General features: G+C 48.2%; 1 protein-coding gene across 2 annotated transcripts in view; it reads right to left on the minus strand.

The window, feature by feature from the left end:
* Nucleotides 1–14,577, minus strand: part of SLIT3 (slit guidance ligand 3) — a 639,400-nt gene extending 624,823 nt beyond the window's left edge. For both annotated transcript variants that reach the window (NM_003062.4, NM_001271946.2), the window contains exon 1: nucleotides 13,951–14,577. In NM_003062.4, the coding sequence (NP_003053.2) occupies nucleotides 13,951–14,147 (197 nt within the window). In that variant the 5' untranslated portion in view covers nucleotides 14,148–14,577. The remainder of the gene's footprint in view (nucleotides 1–13,950) is intronic.

Genomic DNA, 14,923 nt, shown 5'->3' on the forward strand with positions numbered 1-14,923 from the left:
TCAGGAAACTGAGGCCCAGGGAGGTCAAATGACTTGTCCAAGGTCACATGGTGTGTCAGAGGTACGGCCAGGTCGCCAAATTCCCAGGCAAGCATTCTTTCCACTACACCATGCTGCAGTTGCTAAAAATTCCCCAGAGCCGCCTCCCTCGGCCCTCCTCTCGACAAAGCTATTTTCCCCCCACACAACTACACACAGTCACATTTGGCAAGAGGTGCTATCAGCCCTGCTCTGCTCGTGAAATGCTGTTTTGCAATGGGGCCTCTTTGTTCGTTAGCAACACAGACAAAGAAAACTGTAGTGCAGTCTTCTTGGAAGAAGATGTTTCTTGTTTTAAAGACGGGAAGAGAGCTTCCTGACTGAATATGGCTTGAATCAGCATGCAGCTCCAGTCAGGAAAGAACCCAGAGGAGACTTAGGTCTTTGCAAAATTTCTAGAATGTACAAGGAGGGCACACGGCAGGGGGAAGCTTATGGGAAATGTTTCAGAAAGTACTAAAATGTATGCCTAAACAGAGTAAACAGAGCAGATTGGTTACCATCTTGTGCTATGAAGCAATTAGAAGGGGAGGGGTGTTGGTAGGGAACTAGAGTCATTAAAAGCTCCCATGAAGCAACTGGCCTTCCCATTTTTGGATTCCTGCTCCAGTCCTGGTTCCCAGTGTTCCTTCCCTTGCCGTTTTCTTCAGCTGGGATCTTCCCTCTCTAGACTCGAAATAAGCTGCAGGCTTGGTGCTGAGAGCCCTCAGGATATGATCTGCCATCCCGAGTCACCCATCTGGTGCCTCTCCCCTCTGCTTCCACATGATTCCCTATTTTTTTTTGTACTAGATGTGGTCCCTCTTCTGTCTCCCTAGCTTCCCAGATTGGCAGAGGCTTCCCATGGCTCTGCATGATCTTTGCACAGGATGAGGCAGAAATGAAGGCACCTTTTCATAAGGGCAGACCACACCAGGAAGCTGAGGTCCTCTCTGGTGACCTTTCTAATGCATTTCCCTTTGGAGATGGGTTGAGATCAGTGGGGAGGGAGTAGACCAGATGATCTCCAGTGATACCTCAAAAGCCTGAAAATCTCTTGGCTAGGGAAGCCAACAAGAGGGGGAGGAACAGAACCAAGTTCTGTGGCACAAATTCAGAACTTGTACGCTGGCAGCAGATGGAAAGGGAGGTGCCAGCTTCTAGCAGGAGGGGATGTGGTGGACGCGTTTCTCAGGGCGGTTGCAAGCCACAAGTCTTGCATTCCAAAGGACCTGGTGAATGCTGCCTGAGAACCTGCCTCTGACACAGCCACAGCATAGGTCTCCAGGCACCAGGTGAGATCTCCAAAAAGAAACTCCACTGGCCAAGTGAAGGTTCTTAGACCCTTTCTCCCAGAGCAGGGTCTTCCCCATCGCCTACCCCATGCTTAGGCAAACTTGCCCAAAGTACAAATTTTATTCCAAATCCCCCTCCCTCATTTTCCCCTAGGAAAATTCCTCCTGCTGAGTTAAACCTAAGAGAGAAAAATAAAGATATTACCACTCAGGGAAACAATGTCCTAGGGGTCCCTTGCAGCCGAGGAGGGGAAGGGAAGCTGGCCCCCTAAAGAAGGCCCTGTATCTCCTCATGGCCTCAAATGCTGCTGTGCTGTGTGTCAGTGTTTATGAAATGCTTCTCAAATAAGGTCAGTGTTCTACACAGAGTTAGAACTCTAATAAAATGCAGAACTTGTGCTGTTTGCCAGCTAGCTGCAGAGGCATACTTGAATGCTTTCTCAGATACAATTGTTCTCAGATTAATATTTCCCCCTTGAGTTTTTTTTTAATTCCACTTGTACTATTTTTTTATGATGTGGGAGGCTTTCTACATATTTGTACCCACTAAAAGGGATGAGGGGGCTTGCTTTCATCAATGATTCCTGAGGGTTTGGTGCTACATCCTTCATGGTTCTAGCATTTCTCCCAACCCATAAATCTCCCTGCTCTGAACCTAGCATGGTAGCCTTTGCCTTGTCAGTCATTTAGAGGGAGAGACAGTCCAGACTAACTTTGAAGTTAGTTTGAACTGTTCTAGTTACCAGAACATTTCACTTGCTTTATTCATTGTGGTAGACACTCAATAAATGGCCCCTTTAAATGACTCCATCCTTCATGGATTCCCTTATTTGGTCCTACTGTCTTGGACACTGTCACTTATTAATTACCCAGTCCTCTAAACTCCACCTGGTTAAGCTGCTGACATGGCTGGTATGAGGTTATATTTTAATTTGTAAAAGATGCATCTTGTTAAATGAAAAGGAAACTGGAACAAGAGTTTGAAGACATGGGTGACTCTGAGCAAGGCTTTGGAGCTCCCTGAGTTTCTTCATCTGTAAATGAAAGCTTCTAAAATATACCCTGATCGTCTTCCAGATACAGGATTTAGTGGTTCAATTCAGATATTGTGGGTGGACTCATTAAGGTATTCGCATAGCACTAAATTTAGAAGGCATTTGGAGACATCTGATCTCATTTAAACCTTGCATCAGCCCCCTGAGATGAGTGTTATTTCTCCCATTCCAAAGGTTATAGATGAGACTATGGAGACCGCAAAGGTACTCAGACAGGTCGGGCAGTTAGAAAGTGACAGAAGCCAGGATTCAGCCTAGGTCTTTCTACTCATTTCGGCTTACATCCAAATTGTACTCCCCCTTGGCTTCTCACTAATTCCACTTAGAATCCCCATACTCAGAACACTTTCTACCTACATTCTAGAGCTGGAGAGAGAAGAAGAGGAGAGAAAGAATGTCAGCAAAGTACTAGATAGTCCAGAAATTTCTGCAACACATTATTGAACAGGACAGCTCTCCAATGAGATCATCACTGCTGCGCTTTTTAATTACAAAATGATCTGTCCTATTTGGGATACAGGGAGTTCAGGAGTATGTCTAAGTAATTCATCATTTATAGAGTCCAGCCCTGGGGCACTTTTACATGCTACCCTGGACATGATAAAAGATTTCAGATGGCCATAAAGACGAAGTCTGAGGTTGTTTCCAGGGCAGAACTCTGAGTTCTTGCAAGTCTGCAGTCTCCAGTGAAGGTCCAGGCCATGAAATCCAATTTCAGGACCTGGGGTTCTGATGGTGACAGTCCAAATTCAATACTAAGGCTATGGAGAATACATAGAGGGCAGTAGAGGGCAAGAAGCCAAGCTAGAAGGATTAAGGCAGGAGCCAGGAGTAGCTAAAGCTCAGGGAGAGATGCAAACATGCACAATTCTATGGTCAAGTCATAAAACTCCGATTAGAAGAGGATCATGGACTCCACAGCATGCAGACATACCTGAGTTAGGGCATTCACTAGGGCACACACTAGGGCATATGCTAGGGCACATACTAGGGCATATGCTAGAACATACACCAGGGCATACGCTAAGGCACACACTAGGGAATATGCTAGGGCACACACTAGGGCATACACTAGGGCACACACTAGGGAATATGCTAGAACGTACATTAGGGCATACGCCAGGGCACACACTAGGACATATGCTAGAACGTACACTAGGGCATACGCCAGGGCACACACTCGGGGATGCACTAGGGCATACGCCAGGGCACACACTAGGAAATATGCTAGGGCACATGCTAGGGCATATGCTAGGGTGTGCACTAGGACATATGCTAGGGCACACGCTAGGGTGCGCACTAGGGCACATGCTAGGGCACATGCTGGGACACATATTAGGGCATATGCTAGGGCACACGCTAGGGCGCGCACCAGGGCACATGCTAAGGCACACGCTAGGGCATACACTGGGGCATATGCTAGGGCACGCACTAGTACATGTGCTAGGGCACACGCTAGGGCATATACTAGGGCACACACTAGGGCATACACTGGGGCACACACTAGGTTGCGCACTAGGGCACATGCTAGGGCACACGCTAGGACATACACTGGGGTACATACTAGGGCACGCACTAGTGCATGCGCTAGGGCATATACTAGGGCGCATACTAGGGCATACGCTAGGGCACACACTAGGGTGCGCACTAGGGCACATGCTAGGACATACACTAGGGCATATACTAGGGCACGTGCGGGGCATATGCTAGGGCAAATGCTAGGGCACGCACTAGGGCATACGCTAGGGCACATGCTGGGGCACGCACTAGGGCACGCACTAGGGCATATGCTAGGGCACACGCTAAGGCACACACTAGGGCATACACTGGGGCACATGCTATGGCAACCACTAGGGCACACGCTAGGGCATACACTGGGGCACATGCTATGGCACCCACTAGGGCACACGCTAGGGCACATGCTAGGGCATACGCTAGGGTGTACACTAGGGAATACACTAGGGCACGTGCTAGGGCAAAGAATGGATATGACTGGTAACAGACAGGAGCTAGAGAGGTAGAAAAACCCAAGAGGTAGACAAGGTGGGTGGTTAAGTGTGCTGGCAGACTTTCAGGAGCCACAGGATACACTGCTGCCAAAGTGCGGAATGAATCAGGGGTCAGGAACCAGATTGGCAGTTAGGACAAGAGAAGAGGAGTCTGAGCCCACACAAGCAGTGATATGGCCGTGATAAGTGCAGTCACACTCGACTCCAGCCAGGATACATCTTATGTACATCCTGTTGGAACAAGACCTGATGCCAGGGTGGGAGGAGCCCAGAGATCCCGGCTAAGAGAAAGCAAGTGGTGCATCTAACTGCAAAGGAAGATGACTCCTGCCGACATTTGAGTAGATGCTTGAGGCGGAAAATATTATTCAGCAAGGTTCATCAGAACTACTCTTGGAGGGTGTATCCCCTCAAACCAGAAATTTAAAAAACAGTTAGTGGACACATACCATGGAGATATTTTCCTAAGATTTGGATTCTGTTCTAAACATCCCCATGAGATAAAACTTCCCAAAGTGCAGCTCCCATCATTTTAAGTTGGGCTCAGGAGCATCTAATCATGAATTTCTGTGACTGTACCACGTTCCCATTTCTACGCACAGGGATCCCATTAGTCTTCACGCTCCAATACAAAGGCCACCTATTTCCCCAAATTGGACATGATGGCTCTGTTTCACCAGGTGTCCAGATCACATCATTGACATTCTTCTTGATGCTTTGCCTCGAACAGGGGCTCTTTGATTTAAGTTGAACTCATCATGTTTGTCTTCTTCTAGTTGTTACTTGAGAATAGAGTTTAGAAGACAGAAAAGGAGGCTGACTTGAAAGATTCTGGAAGGGATGACATGACTGGGAGTTGGAGTGCAGCCTCTGAGACCAGCCTGGCTGGATGAACCCTGCCTCTCCTGTTCCTTACTGGGGATGTTATTTCACCTCTCTGACGTAGTTGCCACATCTATAAAATGCAGACAGTCCTGCCTACTTCACATAACTCTTCAAATAGGAAATGACTCCACGCATGTAAAGTGTAAGAGCAGTGCCAGGCACAAAGAAAGGCTCAATAAATGCCAGCTATTGTTGTGGTGATGGTTGTTGTTGTCGTTTACAGAGGCTTGGGGACCCTGTAGGCCCTGGTCCCCTATGCTTCATTCTTCATCATGTCTGTTCCCAGAACTACTCCAGAAAATGTGCCCGATGCCAATGTGTACCCAAGATGCTAAGGGAAATCACTGTGTTTAAAAACCTGAAGCTACCTGAGCTCTGCTACTGGCAGAAAGGCTCAATCCCTCAGGCTGAACTTTTTACCAGGAGAGAATAACACACATATACATACACATTCAACATACACACACATACATGCGTCATATCCTGTGTTGGTGAGACTTGTGGTACTAGCCTAATAGGACAAAAATGAAGCTAAAGTCATTATGGAAAGTTCCATGAGAAACCAAGAGTATAGAGAAAATTTAGCAAGCTGAAGAATTAAGCATTAATAGGAAATTATTCCAGAGAAAATATGAACCAACAGAACCCCAGGGAAAGAAGATGCTACAAGCCAAGAAGACCTCAACATTTTTTTCCATCCCAGCCGGAAAGAACGGGGCAATATATTTATGTAATCCACATGCCAGATTGTAGAAAGATTTTGAAAAAAATGCACAGAGAACTCTGCTGATTATATTGACAACTTGGATAAAGATCCATAGGGCAAGCTCATTAAAATTGCAGAGGAAATAAATAGTGGGAGATGGGGAAAGGAGTAGTTAATTGCTAGATGAGGAAATCGAAATAGAAAATGCTCCTGAAAAGCTGATGAAATGAAATGATTTGCCAAAAGTTAATTAGGATAAATGCAAAGTGTTGCACTTAGACTCCAAAAAGTCAACTGCACAAGTCTAGAAGAGGGGACAACAAGCTAACAGCAGGGAAGACTGGGGAGATATGGGGATGTCAGGCAGCTTGGTCAAAATGAGCCTACCCAGGGCTGTGGCTGTCCAAAGTGAAAAGGTTCTTTTGAATGCGCTGGCTGATAGAAGTCAAATAAAACAGTGAAGGCATGGAAGGTCTCCTTCTAACTAATACAGTCCAAGAAGATTGGAACCTATTTAGAGGAAGAGAACTATGGATGGAGTACGAGGCCTATGCCCAAACTGTACCACATACAGAATAGTTGAGGCAATTAAGGAGACTCCGGTAAATGGGTGGTGAGAAACACCACAGCAATAAGACTTTTGAAAACCTGTCATTTGGAAAAAAGATTATACATGCTCTGGGTTACAACAATCAATGAGAGATAAGTCCAATCCCCACACAAAGAACATTTTCTTATTAGGATTGTGGTTTTTTTAATGGAATAAATTGCTTTAGGAAGAACTGAGCTCCTCATCACTAGATATCATCAAGCAAAGGAGGCTAACTGACCACCTTCCCCTAAATCATGCTGATGGAAGACCAACCTTCGTGTGGTTGGAACTTGGACAAATGGACCTCTTCCAACGCTGACGATCTGTATTTTTCTTAATGAAGCTTCATCCTGATCATGCTCTGATAGGAGGTCTACACTCAGTAAGACTTTTGACCATAATAACAATAGGAATATTGATGGAGGGTGCCCTTGGTTCCAGGCAGCCTATGTGGATTAATACAGCATCCTTTGAAGGGAGTATTATTATTATTCCCATTTTGCAAATGGGAAAACTGAGGCCCATCCAGCTAGTAGGTGACAGAACCGGGCTTTGGGCCCCAGAGTCTGGCTCTAGTGCCACATTTTCCTATCTTCTCTGTCCACGCAGTACAGAAGGCTCTAATCATGCACGCTTTGGCCAATTTTTTTCCAGGGTTTCACTGTATCAAACATGGTACTGACAACACAACTATGAAGACCACAGTGAGTGGGGAAGAAAGGTTAGCCTCTTGACAGGCCAGCAGTCACAGTAGTTACAGATCACCGTCCAGGCCTGCAGAGCAGAGAGGTAGAGGATTCCCAACATGAGCATCCAACCTTGGCAAGGCTGATTTGAATTCAAGGATGGAGAACAATGAAGAACGGAGAGCACGGGGAGCTCAGCACAGTGCCAGGGCACCCTCTACAGCCATCTAGCTTGTGATCAGCAGTGGTCCAGATGAGCTCTCTGGGAATGCCTCCACCCCTTGTTTTTCCTTTCTTTTCAGCAGTCCTAAAAAGGGTTAAGACCACCTTACATAATGAGGGTGGAGCCTGCTAGGAAATACAGCTGTTTCAAGTAAACACAGTAATAGAGGCAGACATGGGAAGTCAGTAAAAGGAGGTATTTAAGGAAAAATAGAAGGAATGAGCATTGAAAAAAAAAAAAAAAGTCAGGGCCAAAAATTCCCCATGAAAACCCACCCCCCAAAAATAAATAAATAAAATGCATTCCTTATTTAAATATACCACAAAGCAACACACCCATGGAAAAGATATAAACCACTTTCACCACAATTCCCTTTTTATGGAACAGAAGCCAACCTGGGCTCTGCTGTGGGGGCAGGACCAAGAGCAGAGAGAGAAAAGGAGGGGCCTAGCCAAGAGGGTATTGGGCATAGCCCACAGGCAGGCAAGGAAGTCGCTTCCACAGGGCTCTGGGTTGGAGCAAGTTTAGGATGGGCGTCTCAAACCTTCCAGCTGGATAGGGCCTGAGATGAAGATATAAAGGTAATAGCCATGGCCACTAACATGAATAGTTCAGGGAGGGCTCCTATGGTGGGGTCATGCATCACTTAATGATGGGGATACGTTCTAAGAAACTCACCATTAGGCGATTTCGTCATTGTGCAAACCTCATAGAGTGCACTCACACGAGCCCAGATGGTCTAGCCTACTATACGTCTAGGCTAGATGTGATAGCCTATTGCTCCTAAGCTCCAAACCTGCATAGCATGTTCCTCTACAGAATACCGTAAGCCACTGTGACACAATCATAAGTATGTGTGTTTCTCAACATACCTATACATAGAAAAGGTACCATCAAAGTATGGTATGAAAGATAAAAAATGGTACATCTGCACAGGGCATTTACCAGGAATAAAGCTTACAGGACTGGAAGTTGCTCTGGGTGAGTCAGTGAGTGAGTGCTGAGTGAATGTGAAGGCCTAGGACATTACTGTACACTACTGTAGACTTTGTCAACACTATACCCTTAGGCTGTACTAAATTTATTAAAAATAAAGTGATGGCACTATGACATTACAAAAGCTACGATGTCACTAGGCGATAGGAATTCTTCAGCTCCATTTTAACCTTATGAGACCACCGTCCTCTATGTTGTCCACTGTTGACCAGAATGTCATTTTAGGTAACACATGACTGTACTGTGTTAAGCACTTTCCTGTATATTATTTTGTTTAATCCCCCCAATGGGGTAGAGTCATCATACATATTTTACAGTTAAGAAATCATAGAGGGATAAACAATCACAGCAATGAGTGAACAACATGGTAGGCACCGTGCTGAGCACATTACAGGGACTGCCTCAGGCTACATTCACAGCATCCCCATGAAGACCGTGCGCTCATCATCCTGGTATCACAGGTGTGGAAATAAGGTACTAAAGAATTTAACACACTGCAGTCCACAGCAATAGTGTAACATGCCCACAGTGCAACAGCAAGATGTAACAGAGCTGCAATTCAAACCCACAGTCGTCTGTCTCCGGAGCGCCTGCCCTAACCACGATGCTTAGGGGTCGGGAACCTTCTTGCCATAGCCCACATTGCCAAGGCAAGAGGTTCTACAGCTGCAACCCACTGTTCATTCTCACTTTCCAGGTGAGACAGAACTCTGTGACAACAAACAATACTGGAGAGAAAACAACATAACAATCAAAACGGCAAAAATGCAGAAATAATAGAAAATCCAGATGATCAACAAAAGCAGAACTTATCAATTAATACAAGAAGAGCAGCAATCAAAACCCACAGAGCACTCAGGATGACGCTGATGAGTTCCTGATTAGAAAGCCCTGTGGTTTAAGTGCTCAGGATTTCCAGTTCTTTTCATGGGCATGTGCACAGTAGGAGTTTTGCAAGGTTGCTAAGCAATGCCTGGCAACCAGACTCCAGAGTAGATCACTCAACAGGAGTCCTTGGTAACTCTAGTAAGGCAATAAATATTAGTTCATAAAATCCAAATTTTAGATACCCTTAATAACTCATGTCATAGGTTACTAGTGAGGATCCCTTAGTCATATGCCAGAATGCAGATCTATAATGGCCCATCTTTCACTTTTAAGAACTAAAGACAGACTTGTAGTTTTGAGGTTCATTATTCCTTTATTAAATACACATCTGCTGAACACCTACTGTGTGCCAGGCACTGTTCTAGACACTAGGGAGGCGGATACTTACAGTTCCCCCAGTGGACTATAACCACTAAGAAAACCACTAAGACTATACAAGAATTCTACTTTCATGAAAATGAGGCCCAGAGAGGTAATGTAATCCGTTCAGAGTTGCACAGCACCATGGAGGCTATACCGGTCCACTGGAGGCGGGTCCACTCAGCTGCTCCTTAGTCTGTCCAGGAGGGCACTGTGTTTCCCTAAAAGGCCACATCACCGTGGTTGACCCAGAGAGACCCCATGATTCACTAGCTTGTTCCTGTCCTCTAAGCTGGCCCTGAGGGCTGGACAGAGGACTTGGCTGTTGAGCATCTTGGAAAGTCTCTCACTTGACCTCAGGACCTCTGTGGTCAAGTGAGGGAAAGCCTATGACATGGTGTCAGTTTTTATTGGGCCCAACCACCGGCAAAGCTAGCCGTCATTTGGAGTGATGGAGAAAATTAAGTTACCACATTCTCACGTTTCAGCCTTTCGCCCGTTCTCCTTCGCAAACAGGAAATGTTTATTTAAATACAGCAGTCTCCAGCATGTTCCAGAGCCAAGTGAAAAACCAAAGATGTCCACTCTTGCCCCCACTCCACCGTTCAGGCCACCCCTCACTGCAGTGAGAAGTGGGCCTCTGCCTGCCTCTAGACAAGGACGGCAAGATGGGGAGAAGTGGCCCCGTGTGAGAGTTCATTTTCATCTGCCTCCTCTTTTTCCAGGCTGAGATTGTGGTTGGAGAAGAATTACATCTGTGGGCTCCTTTTGTAGTCAGAAGGGTAAGTGCAACATCTGTTTACTCTGTGCTCCATGGTAAATGTTTGGTTTCAGGCACCGCCATCCACTTCCTCTCCTCTCGTCCTCTATCTTTGCTGCACGGATAATAAATTACACTGAATTCTTCTCTGCATTTATTTAGCTTTCTTGTGGGTGTCACCTCCTCATGGAGGGGGAAAAATTGTCAGTAGTTTATAAAAGACAGAGTTTCTTTTTCTGCGTGATGTTCTGACATTATAGGGAAGATCTTGGAACACAGACCCCCCAATTCTGATTCTGGCTTAATTATGAACAATTGAGGCCCCATTCCAGGCCTGAAGCAAAGTCCAAATGGTGAGCACATTATCCCCACTCAGGTTTTCCTTAATGTCATAACACAAGGTTTCAGAAGTCAAAAACATCCAGAGAAGCAATATACACAGACACACACACACACAAATCCCTTCATCAAAGCCTTTTTGGGAGGCAGAGTACCAAGAATGGAGAACGGAGAAAATGCAGTTTCTTTGTTTTAAAACACAATTTAAACCTTTGAGATCAGAAAACTGGATTTTAGGAAGGTCCTGAGCATCTGATGACAGTGCTGACAAAACGTGCCCCATGGCAACATGAACCCTGGGAAGTTCAAAAGGCTCACCAAAGCAAGTTTCCTTCTATCTTTTGCTTACATTCTTTACATTGAAGTGCTGGTTTTCTTCTGTATTTGCAATGGTTCTATATACAGTTTCTGGAATGCAGTAGAGGTTCAAGTCATGTTTGTTCTCAAACTCCTAGGCTCAAGCGATCCTCTCACCTCAGCCTCCCAAAGTGCTGGGATAACAGGCATGAGCCACTGCGCCCGGCTTCAAGTAATGTTTGTTGAATGAATGAAGGCAGGAATAAATGAGTGATTCCTCTGAAGAAATCCTTGGCAGAGAGTAAAAATGCCAAATATCCCCCAAGAGTTTTCAGAATTGAAATGTTACATTTGAGTTGGCTGAGAGAGAGTGTGGTGCAGGACTTTGGTGGTGAAGGACTGTTGGTGGGTTGCCCTGAAACCCTGCAGTGAACCTGACCCAGCTTGCTCCTACAGACTGTCCCCCATTCCCAGGGAGGAAGGAGACTAGAATGAGATACCATCGCGGCACCCCCATGCACCCTGGCCAAAGTGGCACCAGTGACCACAACTGAGGCAGAAGAGACCAGAGACATCAAAGAAGCTCCTGCTCTGCCACTGCCTATTAACGACTGCAGCAGGGGGCCTCTGGGAATGACCAGGACTCCAGTCTCTGTCCTGTTTCTCCAGTTCTAGAGCTGATGGGTTGCCCTGAGCTGCACAGATCCCCTAAGGAAGATGACTCGGTGGCATGCTGGCATGGGTGCGGTTCCTGCAGCTCTGGAAAACTTCCTACACACCAGGAGGAGAGGGACTTACTCTTCTTGGTTTCCCAAACATGGAGCACGATTTTGAAGATGCGGAAGATGTAGTTGCGAGACCCCAAGCAGCAGACCTAACATCAAAGTGAGCTGAACATTTGCAGGGTATACCAGAAGCAGAAGCAACAGCAGCCTATTCTAAGATCCAAGCCCAGCCAGAACCCTCCCAAGACTGTCTGTTTATAGATCGTGGCCCAAACTGACCCTTGTTCCAAGGATGACCAGGAGAGTGATAACGGTTGTGGGCTTAGGAACCAGTCAGGCTTGGATCCAAACACTTCACTAGCTGCACGACCTTGAGTAAATGACAAGATGGCTTAACTGTGAAAGGGAGTAATAAGCATTGCCTATGTAACTAACAGGACTGTTGGAGTGATTCAATGAGATAATACATATACACAAATCAAGGCATGAAAAGCATTTATCAAACATTAGCTATAATTATTATTTCACTAACTCATGTGGCTAGCACTGGTGTGACGAGGAGGGGAACTTAGTTTACAAGTTATAGGTATCTAAAAATACCACTAAAACAAGTTTTTCACTCCTATGGACTAACTTAATGTCTGAATTAAGGTGTGAAAACCTGGATTCTAGCCCCTTTATTGCCGTCAACTTGCTGTGTTTTCTTGGGCAAGTCATTTTACACTTCCAAGCCTGGTTTTCGACATGTGTTAATAAAGATTCGGCTCTCACCCTTTAGGATTCTGTGGTTCAACCCAACAAAACAATCACTGCACTTGTGGAAAAACAAAAAAGTACTGAGCCAAAGGAAAAAGAGAGCACCAGGAATAAGGAAGACAGTTCTGCTGAGTCTCCACCCAGAGATGCACAAAGAAGTGGAAGAGAAGAGGAGGTGGGGTGATAGGAGGTGACTAGCAGGAATAACACACTCTAGGACAATGCTTGTCATCACTACTCTCTTCCAGCCTGAAGTCAAGAAAGCAGAGTGGAAGATCCAGGCGCCTACCCCTAAGGCACATGAGGAAGGGGAGAAGAGGGAGAGCAAGACACGGAGGGAATCTACCACACTAGAGCAAACCCTCACCCACTTCTCGGCTGGGTTCCCAGTAAGGCTTCCCACCCACTCCAGCGTTTCTCCCCCACTCCCTTACCCCACCCCAACTGCGGACTAAGAGGAGCCCACCCCGGAGTCCAAGTTTTGAATCTGGTCCGAGGATCAAAATGATAAATGTTTCCAAAACGTTGACATATGAAAAGTAAATATTTGGTTGCACAATTGGGGCTAAAACTAGGGTCAATCCACCCCATTCTCCAAGCGCCTCTCCATTCGCTGCCAAGCCCAGGATCTGAGGCTGAGTGCGGTTTGTAAGATTATAACGCTCGGTCTCATTTGAAGGGCTGTCAGCATTTCCATTCTCCGGCCCCTTCGTTCGGGGAGGCATTTATAACCGAGCCATAAAAAATTCACCCGGGGCTGCAACTTGGCATCTCCCAGACTGCGCTCCAGGCAGAGCGGGTTTTGCGAGCACCCACTCTGAATCTGTCCAGTTCCTCAGAAGTTAAACCTTCACCCACACTCTCAACTTTCCTTGCAAGGGCAGCCAGAGAGCGGCTGGCCCATTCTGATCTCCAAGCAGGTCAACAGTCTCGGGCCCTCTCTCCCGCCTCCGCGCCTTGACGGCCCATCATCCTATAGCTTTCTCCTTCGCCCGCCCCCCTTTTTAACGAGCGCAGACCCCTGACCCTCACCCTAAGACCTTGAGGCTGCAGTGCTCTTGCCTCCCCTCGCCTCTCCTCAGCTACTCCTTGGAAGCTGTCAGCGGGCCCTGCGTCTGGAACCCTCACCCCTGGAGAGGCACTGCTCTTTGCCCATCGCTGGGGGTTTCGAGACCTCTCTTTCCAGATCTGACCAAGCCTACAGACCCCCAGCTCGGAGAGTGAGGGATCGTATCCAGGAAGGGATGAGAATAGAGACTGCATCCAGGGAGGCCGAGGGGAAAGGACGGATCTGGCGCCTGGGGCCCCCTCGGTGGGACCCAGGTGGGTGGCCCGCGTGGGGTGGGGCAGGGGTACTCACAGGCGCTCAGCGTTGCGGGGGATGCCCCGAGGAACCGCGCGGAGGCCCAGCCCGTGGCAGTCCACGCTGGCAGCGGAGCAGGTACACTTGGTGGGGCAGGCGACGGCTGGAGGCCCACTCAGGACGCTCGCCAGCGCCAAGGCCAGCGCCAGGCGGGCGCGCACGGCGGCGCCGACCCCTGCCCACCCGGGGGCCATGGTGTGCAGGGCCCCGCTCCTGGAGGAGGCTGCCTCTGCGGGGCAAGACGCGTGGAGCCCGAGGAGGCGCGCGGGGAGCGCGGGCGGCCTGGGGAGCGGGCGGCGGAGTTAGCGCGGAGGAGGGGCGAGCTCGGTGCTCAGGCGCACGGGGCGCGGGCGGAGCGGGGCGCTCCGGGCGGCGGCGGCGGCAGCAACAGCAGCTCCATCGGCGGGGCCGGCGCTGCCCCGCTGCGCATCGCTGGGAGTGCCCAGGTGCGGAGCGCCCCCTGGCCCCGCTGGCCCGCGGGCCGGGTTGGGGACCTGGGGCGAGCGCAATGGGGCGTGGCGCCCGGGGAGGTCCGGCTTGGGGCTGGGCTGGGGAGCGCGGCGGCTGCGGCTGGGGCACGGGGCGGCCGGGTGAGCTGGCCGGCGCTCGCTCTCTCCATTCAGTGAGCACGGCAGACACCGGAGACGCGGGGCCCACCCCTCCGGCCCCCCCCCGACCAAGAAACGCCAACTCCGCCTCCCATTGGCTGCGCCGCGCGTCATGTCGACTAAGTTGGGAACTTTGCTGGAGCGACCGAGAGCCTGGAGGGAGGAGGCAGTAGAGGAGGGAGAGAGAAGGAACCAGGGAAGGAAAGGGGCTCGGCCAGCAGGGCCCCTGGAAAGAAACACTGAAACTCATTCACTGTTAAGATCCAAGGACGGATAAGGCTCCTGACACTTTTTTTTTTTTAATTTTTGCACTGAGCTGAGCACTCTACTCATATTCTTTACTTAAGTCCACGATCTTCCAA

Source organism: Homo sapiens, chromosome 5, assembly GCF_000001405.40.
Source record: "Homo sapiens chromosome 5, GRCh38.p14 Primary Assembly".
In the NCBI taxonomy this organism is placed as follows: Eukaryota; Metazoa; Chordata; class Mammalia; order Primates; family Hominidae; genus Homo; species Homo sapiens.